Source organism: Homo sapiens, chromosome 13 (genome assembly GCF_000001405.40).
Source record: "Homo sapiens chromosome 13, GRCh38.p14 Primary Assembly".
NCBI classification, from domain to species: Eukaryota; Metazoa; Chordata; class Mammalia; order Primates; family Hominidae; genus Homo; species Homo sapiens.
This window is the reverse complement of record NC_000013.11, coordinates 41,362,272-41,377,675: the sequence shown is the minus strand read 5'-3', so window position 1 is coordinate 41,377,675 and position 15,404 is coordinate 41,362,272. Positions and strand designations below refer to the sequence as shown.

The 15,404-nt window shown below is 35.0% G+C and overlaps 1 protein-coding gene across 4 annotated transcripts in view; it reads right to left on the bottom strand.

Annotated features, from left to right (window-relative positions):
- Window positions 1–645: 645 nt before the first annotated feature.
- NAA16 (N-alpha-acetyltransferase 16, NatA auxiliary subunit) overlaps window positions 646–15,404 on the bottom strand; it is a 65,764-nt gene continuing 51,005 nt past the window's right edge. For 3 of the 4 annotated variants that reach the window (NM_024561.5, XM_006719866.4, XM_047430610.1), the window contains 7 exons: window positions 10,024–10,237; window positions 8,393–8,586; window positions 5,365–5,473; window positions 4,846–4,944; window positions 3,896–4,039; window positions 2,837–2,934; window positions 646–2,271 (listed from right to left, as the gene is read on the bottom strand). In NM_024561.5, coding sequence (NP_078837.3) covers window positions 2,074–2,271; window positions 2,837–2,934; window positions 3,896–4,039; window positions 4,846–4,944; window positions 5,365–5,473; window positions 8,393–8,586; window positions 10,024–10,237 — 1,056 coding nt within the window. In that variant the 3' untranslated portion in view covers window positions 646–2,073. Of the gene's footprint in view, window positions 2,272–2,836; window positions 2,935–3,895; window positions 4,040–4,845; window positions 4,945–5,364; window positions 5,474–8,392; window positions 8,587–10,023; window positions 10,238–14,800; window positions 14,946–15,404 lie in introns of those variants that run through there. The other variant, XM_011535228.3, reaches the window with a different exon arrangement.

Below are 15,404 nucleotides of genomic sequence, written 5' to 3'. Positions count from 1 at the left end.
GTGGCATATTTTATGCAAACGTCATTTTGCTGAAAGTAACATGAATTATGTATGTGTCCGGATACTTCATGACAAAGATGAACGACAGATGTTCCTCGACTTATGCTAGGGTTATGTCTCAATAAACCTTTTGTGAGTTGACAATTTCATAAATCAAAAATGCATTTAATATACCTAACCTGCTGAACATCATAGCTTAGCCTCGCCTACCTTAAATGTGATTAGAACACTTACATTAGCCTACAATTGGGCAAAATCATCTAACACAAAGCCTATTTTATAATAAAATATTGAGTATCTTATGTAAAAGTACTGTATTGTACATCATAGCCCAGGAAAAGACCAAAATTCAAAACTCGAAGTACAGTTTCTACTGAAGCATATCACTTTCACACCATGGTAGAGTTGAAAAATCTTAGCTCAAACCATCCTAAGCCAGTGATCATCTGTAGTTACAAAATTATTAAAATACTAAAAGACAAGCTACTGCAGCACAAAAATATACTTTGTAGATGGTTACTGAGAATTACATTTTTTTATAAAACTTGAAAAGATTAAGGTGATTAAGTTTTTACTTCCTCAAAGAACATTTTGCAGAAAATACTGGTAGTGTAAAAGAATAACAAAACACAAACATAAATAAGCAACTGTGTACAAAATAATTTATTATAGCATTATCTAGGTTGGCATTATTTTACAGCGAGTTTTTCCCGTCTCAATAAGTATGAATCTAAATAGATTAGGGTGAAAAGAAAATGTGTGTCTAAATAAAATCTCCCTTTTTGAATGTATATTTGTCTTAATAAAGGGAAGCATTAATATTACAGACATATTTACAAGGTTCTGAACATGAGTGATTCCATTACTGTTTTCTGTACAAGATAGAACAAAAAGCTATCCACCCGCCCCCAAAAAATACTGTTTAACAACACTATGTTTTAAGAGTTAAACTAATGAGTTTCAAATCTCATTTTGCCGAGATATTAAAATGCATTTAATGGTCAATGCATGGCTATAACAACAACATTTCATTTTAATTTGTTTTCTGCCCTATAATGCTCCCTTGAAGCACACCTCAGTATAAGCTACTTGTTAATACTCAAAGTAACTTAGTTAAGAAAGCATTAATTCTTGCCTGTGGGCTTTTAAGACTGGGAGAGAGAAATATTCAACAATTTTACCAGTGAATTTCCATGACTGACAGGCAAACCAGCCTTCACATTCTGAAATCATCTACATAAAACTAGAGTACCCTTATTCAACCAGAAAATACCATTTTCATGAATACTAAAAGGAAATAGTAAACCATGAAATATTACAATGAAAAAAGGACGAATTAAATTTTCAAATAAACTTCAATATCTGCCAAGAGGAATTCCTTTTTTTCGAGATGGAGTCTTGCTCTGTTGCCCAGGCTGGAGTGCAGTGGCATGATCTCGGCTCACTGCAACCTCCACCTCCCAGGTTCAAGCGATTCTCCGGCCTCAGCTCCTGGGCAGCTTGGATTACAGGTATGTGCCATCACGTCTGGCTAATTTTTGTATTTTCAGTAGAGAAGGGGTTTCACCATGTTGGCCAGGCTGATCTCGATCTCCTGACCTCAGGTGATCCGCCAGTCTGGGCCTCCCAAAGTGCTGGGATTACAGGTGTGAGCCACCACGCCCAGCCTCCATATTGTTAACATATAGTTAACACTTTAAAACTGATGTGCTTTAATTAAAAAGCAAGCAAATATACGATAAAACAGACAAGGAATCAAAGCACAGATCCTGAAATCAGAATCTAAAGAAAATAATACAGTGGGGTTGTATACAACTTAGCTTAGTAAGAAATTATAATTATACAGAAGCGATCGGAGCTACCACAAAACTGTGTAAGAATAAACAGGTAATTTTAACAGATGGTTATGTAAATTGGCAGGTCGGGTAAAGAACAAAATAAGCTTACAGAATATGCCATTTAAAAATCCTAACCAAATATTTCATTTCATACGTATATTAAAATGCACCCTGGAAAAGAAACCCTGATCTCAATTCAGCTTTGAGTCTATAGGAGTCTACTTTCTAGAAGATTTCAAATTTCATTTGCCAAGACATCATAATTAGCTGTATGGTTCAGTGCCACATTAGGATTGTCGACTTCATTCACAGCAGGCAAGAAGGCAGATGTAAAAGGAAGCAGGTTATGACAGGCCATCCTATATTCTTCATATTGGGAACTACAGTTCCCAAAGCTGCCATCAAGCAGTGCTTCAGAAACCTTTATTAATGTCTAGTGAAACAAAAGGAAAACACAAATTATTTAAAAATAATAAGCTCGCAGTTAATAACCACTTTAATCAAAAGATGCAATGTGTTAAATTGAGAAAGCTGCCTCAGTCTAAAATAATGCCTTACAATCTACACAGTAAGCAATCACCTCAAAAAAGGCACATTAAAAATTCAACCCCGAAAAAGGCAGTAAAATTCTAATAACTGCAAAAGAGAACATTTTAAAACTGTGATCACTAAAAATCAAAGTGTCCTTTACTAACAAAAATAGCCCACATTTACTGAGTACTTAACAACGTGCCAGGCACTAAGGACTTCACGTTTTATTATTTCAGTTAACTCTCACATGGATTCTGTGACAGCACTAGTATTTTCACCCTCATCTTAAAAATGAGGAAAAAGAAGCTAAGAGACATAACCTGCCTAAAGTTACGCATCTCATAATTGATAGAGCTGGGATTAACATCCAGGCATAATTCTGAAGGCCTACTCAAGAATTATGCTGTAAAGACACGTTTTGTTAGATCACTGTGTAAGCATAAATCAGCCAAAGAAAAAAAACTTACCTTTACATCTTTATCTTTTATAGTTTCATCTAGTCTAGTGGCTATAGCAATTGCTTTCTCCTGCCTTGACTTGTCCAGAAAATACATCATTTTAGCACCTGAAATACCAAGGCATTTCAAAATGAATAAACACCTATACTTTACATTTTATGTGATATCAACTGGCCAGTGACTTCAAATATGGTTTTAAGTGTTTAATCAGTGGTAAGCTGGAGCTGGCTCCTACCAGCTCAAGAGAGCCAAGTGTGACATTTCTTCCCTACCTCCTATTCAGTAGCATCCCATTGATAGGCCATGATCAGAGTATTTATATCATGAAAATACACTACAAATCAGAGCTTCTTCCTTCACAAAATGATGGTTATTAAACATTTATCAGATGGACAGTGACTCAACAACTTCCTCCCCTTAGAAATAAAATTGAGAATGTAAATATGGACTGCCCTGTGGCATCAATCAGTATTTCAGCCAAAACTATGAAAAAAGATATTCTAAAATAAAACATCTAAGGAATAAATTACTGTCACAGAGGAGGAGAGTAGGGGCGGGGAAAACAGGAAAATGTTTGCATATTCAAAAAGAAAGTAAAATTTTAAAAAATGAAACACAGTTTATATTTCTCCTATAAATTAGAAGAAAAAACATACTCCAGCCTGGGCGACAGAGTGAGGCTCCATTTCAAAGAAAAAAAAAAAAAAGAAAAATAATTTATAACCACACACCCCAAATCAACATTAAAGCTTTCGTAGACACTTCCTTTCAGCCTTTTTCCCATGCATAGTTGAGATTATATTGTATGTTCAATCCCGCACATTTATTATAAAAGTATTTGCCCGTTATCACAAACCCTTTGAATAAACATCACTTTAAATCTGGTATTACATCCTGTGAATCCATCCCTGTTTCCCCTATTATTGAACATAACTTAAATTTGTCCACATTTCTCTCCCCATACTTACACACAGTACTGTTCATTTGCTTTACATTTTGGGGGTGTCAAAGCTTTCTCTTTGTTCGCTTTTTCCATAAGTATTTTAACCCTGGGGGCTACAAACAAACCTGAAAGTAGATGCTGAAGAGAGGTAGCGTTACGTTTCAGAAAATCCTCATTAAAACTTTCCAAATCCTTTTTGACAAATATTTTCTGCATTTCTTGAGATAGAACTTTGCTCACAATGTCTGGAAGATTACTATGATTAGACACTATAAAAACAAAAACATTTGGATTTTTTGTTTTTGATCTGTCCTTTGAAAAAAAAAAAACCTACTGAAAACCCTTTATGGCTGGGCGCGGTGGCTCACGCCTGTAATCCCAGCACTTTGGGAGGCTGAGGCAGGCAGATCACTTGAGGTCAGGAGTTTGAGACCAGCCTGGCCAACATGGTGAAACCCCGTCTCTACTAAAAATACAAAAATTAGCCGGGCATGGTGGTACACAACTGTAGTCCCAGCTACTCAAGAGGCTGAGTCAGGAGAATCACTTGAACCCGGGAGGTGGAGGTTGCAGTGAGCCAAGATCGTGCTACTGCACTCCAGCCTAGACAACAGAGCAAGACTGTCTCAAAAAAAAAAACAAAAAACACAACAACAACAAAAAACCTTTATTATTAAACTTGATTTTACATAGTATAATTATTATTCTTCCTTTGGAATATAAATACATCCTAGCCTAAAAATGCACTAATTTCTACCATCTCTTGGCTAACAGGTTTATTTTATAGACACGTTCATTTAACTATGTAAATTATTATTATTTTGCTTTACGTTATTGCAAATCTCTTTAATGTCCACCAGCTTAATGTAAGACAACTTATATTTGCTTCTCTCAGTGGCATCCCACTGACAGCTTGGGCCATGATCAGAGGATTTGTATCATGAAAATACAAATCAGGGCTTTTTACTTCACAAAGAGAGGGTTATTAAATATTTATCAGATCAACAGAGATTTAACAACCTCCTCCCCTTAGAAATAATTCACAAATGTAAATATGGTCCTTTTTTATACTTACCAGATTTAGAAAATCTAATTAAACATTCATGTAACCATGGGTTATTACTGTTAATGGCAAAAGCTCGTTTGACAGACTGCAGCATTAACAGAAACTTTCCTGTGTCAGAAAAAATACAAAAGTAATAGCATTAATACTTACACAGTATTTTCCTCACTTTATTTCAGTCTCACTTAAGTTCAACAACAAAATGCTACCTTTTTTATAACACTCGTAAGCAAAATTAAAGTTGACTCTGGCTATCAAAGTCAACTATGGCTTTCTAAAGAAAAGCTTGAAAAATCATAAAAATTGCTTCAGGTAGACAATTTGTATGGTTGTTCAAACTATTCTTACACTGGATTTGATAGTACTATTCTAATTTATTACCCACCTAAGTTTCGAGTAGCCAAGGAAAAGAGCCTTTGTAGAAGGCTAAAATGAAAATCTAAGAAACAAAAATAGATCTGACAAAGATTACACTGAATATGGTCACAAATATAATTAAAGATTAAAAACTGAACTCAAACTATTTATTACCTTTTCTAAAATATATTTCAAATGCTAACAGATGAGTGTCAATGTTATCAGCAACAAGGTTCTTAAGAGGTATAAGGAACTTAACGGCTTCCTCTAATGGATTTTCTACCTATTTTGAAACAGAAAGGAAAATTATTTAAAAAACATCAGAACAAGTCAAATTTCCCCTAAAATTTTATATTAACATATGTCTAAAGTAATTTAGACAGCTTTCTTTATAAAACCAAATAACAAGAAAACATTTAAAAATCATCTGTAAATAAATTCAAAGTACACAATCAATACTTTTCAAAACAGAAATAGCTTTTTTTCTGGTTACAAAATCAAGATCATTTTATTAAAAACAAAAAAATACATAAAGTTATTCCACAGACTTAAAGAGATGGTACATCATGTAATGACAATCCCCTATCTGCTATAAACATTTAAAGTAAGGAGACAAAAAAAATGGCATCAAATAGTAAGGAGATGGTAATAAAATTTAAAATGCTTATAATACAGTTGACCCATGAACAACATGAGCATTAGGGGAGCTGACCCACCCCCAGTGCAGTTGAAAATCTATGTGTAACTTCTGACTCTCCCAACTTCACTACTAATAGCCTACTGTTGACTGGAAGCCTTACCAATAACATGAACAGCTGATTAACACATATTGTGTATGTTACATGTATTGTATACTGTATTCTTATAATAAAGTAAGCTATAGAAAATAAAATACTAAGAAAGTCATAAGGAAGAGAAAATATATTTGCTACTCATTAAGTGGAAGTGGATCATCATCCTTATCTTCATGTTGGGTAGGCTGAAGGGTGAAGGGCTAGTTTTGCTACCTCAAGGATGGCAGGGGTGAAGGAGGTGGAAAGGGAGGCAGAAGAGGCAGGCACATTCCATCTAACTTTATGTAAGTACAATTTTTTTGCTTTTTCATTTATTTAAAAATGTTTCTGTCCAGTACCAATCTTTCCACTGTTTGCTTTGGTTTCAATGCCTGTATCATAGAAGGGTCCATGTCATAAAAGTCAAAAAACAGTCTTGAATAATCAGAACCCTTCTGCCAGAATGTCTAATGTCCATCTGTTTTCTGGCACTACTGCTTCTATGTCTTCTTCCTCATCATCTGGCAATGGTTTGGAAGCACTCATCTCCATCAAGTTGCCTTCTATTAATTCCTCTGGTGTGGCATCTATTAGCTCTTGAATTTCTCCAGGTTCCCTAATCTTGAAGCCCTTTACCGCCATTCTCCACTTTTTGTTTGCCATATCCACAATCTCTTTTATGATTTCCTTGATTGGCTCTGTCATAAATCCTGTGAAGTTGTACACAACATCTGGACACCAGCAGGGATTTATTGTTTCAGGCTTGATGGCTTTCAAGGCTTTTTCTGTTAACAATGATGGCATCCTTGATGATGTAATCCTTCCAGACTTTCATAATGTTCTACTGGGGTTCTCTTCCACAGCGTTGAAAATCCTTTCCATAGAGTACCAGGCATAATGAGCCTTAAAGGTCCTTATGACCCCTGATCTAATCTAGTGGTTGAATTAAAGACATGTTTGGGGTCAGGTAGGCCACTTCTACACTTTTGGAGTTGAACTCATGAGGTTCCGGATGGCCAGGGGTTCTGTCCAGTATCAAAAGAACTTTAAAAGGCAGTCCCTTACTGGCAAGGTACTTCCTCACTTCAGAGACAAAGCATGGATGGAACCAATCCAGAAAAAGGTTTCTCACTGTCCAAGCCTTCTTGTTGTAAAACCGAAAGACTGGCAGCTGTTATTTTTTCCCTTCAAGGCTCAGGGGTTAGTAGCTTTATAGATAAAAGGCAGCCATGGTCATAATCCCAACTGCATTTGCACAAAATGGTACAGTTAGCCTATCCCTTCCTGCCTTAAATCCTGGTGTTCGCTTATTTTCCTTACTAATAGATGTCCTTTGTGGCTTTTATTTTTTCCTGTGATAGAGCACTTTTTTTCTACATTAAAAACCTGTTCAGGCAGATACCTCTTCTCCTCAATGATTTTCTCAATGGCATCTGGAACTTCTCTGCCAGCTCTTGGTGAGAAGTTAATTCTTCTGTTATCTGGACATTTTTTAACCCAAACATCTTTCTAAAATTATCAAACCATCCTTTGCTGGACCCTCAAAATTCAAACCTATGTTGTTCAAAGGCCAACTGTACTAGACTTACAGTGAATAAACCAGAAAACTAAATATTTCCTTAAATCTGATCCCAAAACAACTATTAACACTTGAGAAAATCCTGGAGGTGCTATCTCTTTGTAGCTACAACATTTCTAGTAAGACATATAAGGTAAAATGATTCCATATGTAATGGACAATTGTATTGCTGCTGTAACAAATTACCAAATATTTATTGACTTAAAACAACACACTTATTATGTTATAGTTCTTATAGGTTAAAAGCCCAACACAGTCTCACTGGGCTTACAATCAAGGTGTCAGCAGGACTGCATTTCCTTTGGAGATTCGAAGGGGGAATCCGTTCAATGCCTTTTTCAGCCTCTCTAGACTGCCCACACTCCTTAGCTTGGGGCACCCTCCTTCCATCTTCAAAGCCAGCAACAGCAGGTTGAGTCCTCCTCACATTGCATCATTCTGACCTCTGCTGCTGGCATCCTCAACTTTTAAGGCCCCTTTTGACGATATTAGGACCACATGGACAATCCAGGCTAATCTATCTTGAGGTCAATTCATTACAACCATAAATTCCATCTCCCACCTTAATTCTCCCTTGCCATGTAAGGTTACATATTCACAGGCTGGGGGGACCAGAACACAGACACCTTTGCAGGGCCATTACTCTGCCTACCACAATTGCAATTCTATGTATAACTTGCATTAGCCAAAATTTGTATACTGTCACTCAAAGATAATTGACGGCTATTATAAAAACCTTGAAATATTTCAAATGGCTTCTTACAGATTTAAATAAATCATGTTAACTGTCAGAACGGAACCAAATAGCATAAATTTTACCAAATAACAAAGATAGTAAAACCCATCTCACCCTTTCTAATTTTTCAGGTATAAGTTCTTCCTTAAGGCCACTGGCTTCTTCTTCTTCTTCATCTCTTTTTTTCTTTTGATTTTTCTGTTGACGTTCTCTTTCTGCATGCTTTCTTTCTTCTTCTAGTTTAGCCTTTTTCTGAGCTCTTCTCTGCTTGCTAAGCATTTTCTTCAATTCTTTGGCTGACAAGTTTTCTATAAATATCCAAATGAACAAAATTCTGAGCCAATGTTTGCATTTTCTTCATATTCTTCTGTAATACATACTGTTAGTATGGTTGTCCCTTGGTATCAGTGGGGGATTGGTTCATGACCCCCACCCCCACAAAGTCCACTGATACTCAAGCCTGTGATATAAAATGACACAGTATTTCCATACAACCTATGTACATCCTCCTGTATACTTTTAATTAGATCAGCTTTAAATCTTTCACCTTCCTTTTGCTTTAAGTTGCATATAATGACTTCACTTTTTCATAAATTATATTATGGTCTATAGGTATGCCTAAAATAATGTAAATGCTATGTAAATAGTTGTTACACTGCATTGTTCAGGAAATACTAATAATGACAAGAAAAAAAGTCTGGACATGTTCAGTACAGATGCAATTTAAAAAAACATATTTATGATTTGTTCCACCCATGTGGAACCCACAAAAATGGAGGGCCAGCTGTATACTTTTTTTTTCTGTTTTTTGTCTGGGCAAGGAGGGATGCAGAGGCAACCCATATAAAAGCTTTTAGAAAGTGTATCCCCAGTGACTAGAACAAAATTGGGCACACAAAGGACAGCCAGTAAATGTTGCATTAACTAAAATTGACCAATAGTAGCCCAGTTCTGCCTCCTACACAATATATGACTCCAGGCAAATCACTTTGTCCTTCTCAGTATCAAGTCTTTCAAGAATAAGTGAGATAATACATATAAACACCTGTGATCTCTAAATACTATATAAATATTAGAAATGAACAGCTACCTAGGAATATCTGAGATAGTTACCTAGGCTCATTTCATGCTAACTATTTCTCAAATATTCCTAGATATTAACATTCTAGTGAATAAAAAACTGTACAGATATTCTCACTGATATTCTTATTTTTAATAAAGTAGGAACTAGAAATTTTAAGATTATATATTTTTTCCTAAGGAGCTCAAAGCTATTTTCAGTTACAATTTTTTAAAAAAGAAAGAAAAAAACTAGTCCACAGACATTTCTATGTTTCCTAAACTCGTCTTTTTAAAATTTTTGTAGCGACAGGGGTCATGCTATGTTGCCCAGACTGGTCTTGAACTCCTGGCCTCAAATGATCTGCCTGCCTTGGCCTCCCAAAATGCTGTGATTACAGGCGTGAACCACCATACCCAGTTCTTAAATTGGTCTTTCTGAAGACAAAAATAAAAAAAATTCTAAGTTGTTCCATTAAAGTAATTTAGAACCATCAGCTACAGAATATCATCCCACTTTTTTTAACTCTCTCTGCAACATTTTTGTTTTTTGGCATATGAGTTATCTAATGTTTGTCTTCAACTCCAACAGACAATATATTAATATTTTTCTAGGTATTGTTTACGCTAATGGCATTCTGAAATTTAGTGTCCTTTTAAAATCTTTTAAGTTCCTATTCAGTTACCTGAGTTTATTTCTTGTTGTTTGCTTTCATTGGTTAAGGGATTATCATACAATTTCAAGTATATTTCAATCGCTGATCTAGCAGCCTTGAAATAAAAGGCATGTCTTCTGAGTATATCTTCTAATCTCAAAAGGTCAACATAGGCACGAAGGGTCATCTTTCTCATGCAGTATGTATGGAAGTCGAATTGGTCATCAGTTATCTCAAAAAAATGCTTAAAAACAAAAATCACAAAATTAACCTTTACATTTATGTCAATAATGTCTACCTTTAGAAAAAAAAAATTGTAAAAAGCCCAAAAAACAATTTAAACAGTCACAATTTTCACTTAGCTGCCCTCTCCAATGTTTTACACTATAAAGGATATGAATTATTTTTGGCATTCAACTTGAACTTTCTCTTCCTACAAACCATGCCCATTCCCTACAAATCATGTTTTGTGATGATACTCAACTTCTATATAAGTCAAAAGATCAGGTTATTTTTTAAACCTGAAAGTTAGTATATATTAATATTTTAGTTTTAATGAAATACTCTTCCTCCATATTCCCTAAAAACCAGCATGGCACAGTTAAACAGAGCTCTGAATGAAGACTAAATATGTGTAGGTTCACACTAAATATTTACAAATCTGACTGCTCTACTCAACTCTACCATTTTCAAGGGCAATCCTTACCCACCGCCTGCCACAGGGCCTAATACATAGCAGACATTCAGTAAGCACAGTATTTGCCCACTCAAGAGATAAGCTTCTTATTAGGGATGCGACCCTGAATAAGCCTTTTAATTTCCTAGACAATTATTTAATCTAAGTTAAGAATAAAGAAATCCATACAGCCAATTTCTTAAGGTTGTTAAAGGATCAAATAATGTATTTTAAAGTTCATTTTCAACAGTAAACTGTTATATAAATACAGAACTTTATTGTTTTCTCTTACTCTACCTACATTCCATTTTAGCAGAAGTTCTGAAACTGGAGTCTATGTATAAACAAGCATAAAAACTTCTTCCTAAGGAGAGAGCTCAAAGCTTTCATCCAATTTTCAATGGATCCATGGCCAAAAGAGGTTAAGAACTAATCCCTTCCATGAAAGGTGAACACTAACCCTCTGCCCCTCCCCCAACAAAACAATCTTATACTTATACTGTTCCCCTGCATGCATTTCCATCTCCAACTTCTTTTTTCATACGTTAGTTTTTCTAAAATCATATAGAAAAATGAGTGATTCAATACACCAATATAGATCAAGCTTTCCTACTAGTTCATGTTCCCTCTGTCCTGGGGATAGTTAAGTCACTCCGCAGAGGACATATTAGTAATTGTCCATAATCATCTGATAATTGCTTGGTAATTAGAAACACACTATATACAGAATTATATTAAGTACCTGAGACTTTAAGACAAAAATTATAATAAAAGTACATAGTATGGAGGGTAAGAAACAGGAAAAGTGAACATTTCACATTAGTTTATGACTAAAAAGCCATGCTTTAATGATGTTGTAATTGAAAACTGCATCTTTCCCACCAATAAAATCAAATCGTAAATATTAACATGAACTTTTTTTTTAAATCAAAGGATTACATATTTCATAAAGTTGTTAGTGGTTTCTCTTAATGTAAATCAAGTTATAACTAGCACAAGAATATTTTAAAAATTCAATACAGTTAACTAAGGAAAAATGGTGGCGCTAAAAGTCCTGGAACACATAATCAGATGAAAACATCTAAGAGATTACAGGACATTCTTTTAGGTTGAGAAACATCTGAAAAAAGGCAGATGACAAACTTCAAGAGATATTCCTAGCAGCATTAATAGACAGAGATTTTAAGTCAAGTCTTGGAGGGGGCCATATGTAACCACAAATATTTAAGCCACCTCTTTATCAGTAACAGCCCATAGGCTGCCTCTCTCCAGTTAATGTCTTCCATAAATTGGGTGACCAACTTATCCTAGTTTGCCAGAGGCTCTCTCAGTTTTTCCACTGAAAGCACTGTGTCTTGCGAACCCACTCAGCCTCAAGCAAACCTGGCTTGTTAATCACTCCATAATAAACTAATGGTGATAGACAGAATATGGCTAAATTAAAAACAAGTGGGATACTGCAGCTACAGCTGATTGTAATATTTGCTTTTGGAAAAAACAGTGTATTGCAGAATACTATATAGAAACAACTAAATAATCTCGGGTTGAATTTTTTTTTAACTTTTTGTTTTGGGTTATAGATACAGAGGAAGTAGCAAAGGTCCTGTATACCCTTCCCTCAGTTTCCCCCGAAGGTTACAGCCTACATAACTACAATACAGTATCAAAACCAAGAAACTGACATTGGTACAATGTGTATATAGTTCTATGTGATTTATCATTTGTAGATTCATGTAACCACTACCCTAAGAAACACAGAACTACTCCATCACCAAGAAGCTCCCCCTTGGGTTGATTTTTTAGTCTCTAAATTTGTAAAACACAAAAATATGCTACACAACACCAACAGATAAAGTTAGTTTCCCTGTACCTTTTGGCCAAACATGAAGAGCATGACAAAAATCACTTAGCTCACTGCAGAAAAGTACGTATTCAAATCTTAACATACAGCTCATGCCCTTAACTCTCTCCCCCTAAGCAAGAATTAAGAAAAGCCGTTCACAGCTTTAGAGTGTAGTGTTTTTATTTTTTTAAGGAACTCCTTATTAGGCCCTCTCTTCTAGACCAGATTCTCCTTCCCACTACCTCTCAGAGTTCCCGGATGTGACTAGTAAGAGCTTATACAGAGAAAGGCAACAAAAACCTCTGGATTTAAAAAATAATAACTAGGTCAACTAGGAAAATTAGCAACTCAATTTACTTAATAGAGAATCTGTTGTTATAAAGCATGTTATCAATTTGATAAAGATTAAGATACAATAGAAGATAAAGTTATGATCTTCCTATAGTTTGTATCTATCAGAAGTCCTAGGTCTTATCAAAGAGTTAGAAATATATGTATCGTTGCCCTGTTTCATATCTAAGTCAGTATTCTAAAATAATGATAATCCAATCACCAGCAGTCTAATAGTAAAAGAAAAAAATGGAAAGAAAGAAAACTCAATTCTTGAAAGATAAAATAGATTAAAATGTTATTCTGAACACAAGTTTAAATCTAATATTTTGAAGAAGGTTGTTCTGTTTGTTTTAATAAAAGTCAAGTTTCAAACATCAGATTGGGTTGGACTACAAAACCTTAAAATATAAACCCTAAAATCTTATGGGGGGGGGATGAAAACAGAAAAGATACTACACTAGCTTATTCTAGAATTCTAATTTTTCAAATCCAATTACTAAGAGCTCAAAGCAGTATGTATCCTGACTGAAACTGCCTTCAACAAAAGAACTCTTGAATGACTTCTTCAAAGCAGAATAAAGACCTAACCCTTATTTGAACTTATTTCGCAATTCACTAACCTTCTATTTAGAAGGTAAACTGCAAAGTTTTATTTCTGAGAGGTGTCCGTGTCCTTATTAAAATATTTAAGACACAGGCATAAGGTAACTCATGTAGATACCTATTATAATAAATCTGAAGCTTGTAATTACTCCTAAATCCTTCCAATGATATCATTAAGAATTTTAGATTAGAAAATTTAGATATTAAAAATTAAGAAGCATTAATCATTCCATCAACCTAGTCACCCTATTTATACGAAACACATTTCTACATATAACCACACATGTAGAATATACATAATAACTATAAAAGAGTTGTCTTATTTGCTTTTAGTATAGATATATTCACTGAAGACTAGCTTACAACTGGTATAAGAGTAGGTTCTTTTCTTGTTTATGTTTCTACTTCTTTCTAATCTCAAATGTTAATAGTAAACCCTAAAGTTTCTAGCGATAATAATTATGTAACATGACCAGAGGGTGATGATTTCTGCCATTTTAATCTGTGACAACCAATGATTTTCCTGTAGTTTCTTTCTTCAAAAATGCTTTTTACCAATTAATTTCTTGAACTATGTCAGTAGATTTTCTGACATTACAGAATTTTTTTCCATGCAACTCAGCCAAAATCACTAAAAATTTAAGGGAAAGTATAATCTAAATGAAACTCAGTAATGGAAGATCCACTTATCATATTCTAAAAATTCTCAAAATTTTAAAAAACAAAGCAATATAGTCATCAATGTTAGAAGAAATGGAATTTAAGTTCAAGAAGTTCAGAACTATAATGATCCTTAGGATATTCAAATTTCATTTAAACAGAAAATTTGGTAAGTTTCTAGTTATGGTCTTGCTGAAATTACTAATTCGTAAGTGCCTAGCAGCCTCTTCATAAGGGAAACAATTTACCTCTCACTGAGAATGTCCTAGTTAATAAAAATGTATCTTTCCTTAATAACAAGCAGAATGCTCTTAAAATAATGGTCCTCTAGGGAGTGTAACAAGCTAGTGATCTGTGGTTTTATGAAGGAAACAAGAGCCTGATTTAAACTAGAATGCTTGGGTATTTCACCTATCATCCCAAGGGCTTTATATTTTTCAAGGAGAAGATGAGGAGGATTTTCCCCAGAGATACAGCCATCAAGCCCAGGCTTAAAAGGGCATGAAAAACAAACAAACAAAAAACAAAAACAGAGCAAAAATTAGGTTATTTCTAAAAATGCTTGGGTATAATTCTAGTTCCAGTCCCCATCAAAAGCCACCCCCTAAAATTTAGCCTTCCTTGTGGGTAATCTCAGAAATTTCACGTGGGAAAAAGGCCAAAGTGACTGCCACGGTGCAGACATCAGGCTCACCTGACTACGATGCCTGTGGTTCTATACTGCGTCAGGATGGGAACAGTGGTGCCGATTGCCCCCACAACTGAGGGCTGCTGAGGACTGCCTCAGGGGTGCATTTGCGGCTCTTTTCCTCCTGTGGTCCATGTGGAAGGAGAGTGCTTCAGAGATGACAAAGAACAGGAAAACAAAAATTCACACAAAGGAAAAGAAAAGTCCCCTCACTAAGGCACATCACACAAATAATCCTAAAAGCAAGCAATAAAATAAGCCTGCAAACTGGCCATAGATTGTTATACAGAATACTGAATGTGAGAGCAAATATCCTGGGAAGACAAACTGGAGAGAGGCTGACTGCGGACCAGATCCTGATGTTTTAAAGGGGAAAGAGGTTGCCATCAGCTGTGTGTCCTCTTAGGGTGGTGATGAATATCAAAATAATGGCCTAATTAGGGAACATAAATTTTGAATTTATGTTAATAGCAATAATTGTTTACTAACAATCTTTTTCCTTCAGACAAAAATATATAGACATGTCAAAAGCATAATCACTTGAGGATCAGTAAAGCAATCCATTGTTTACAACTTCTGAATGTAAAGGTTAAAGATCAAGAATTTTT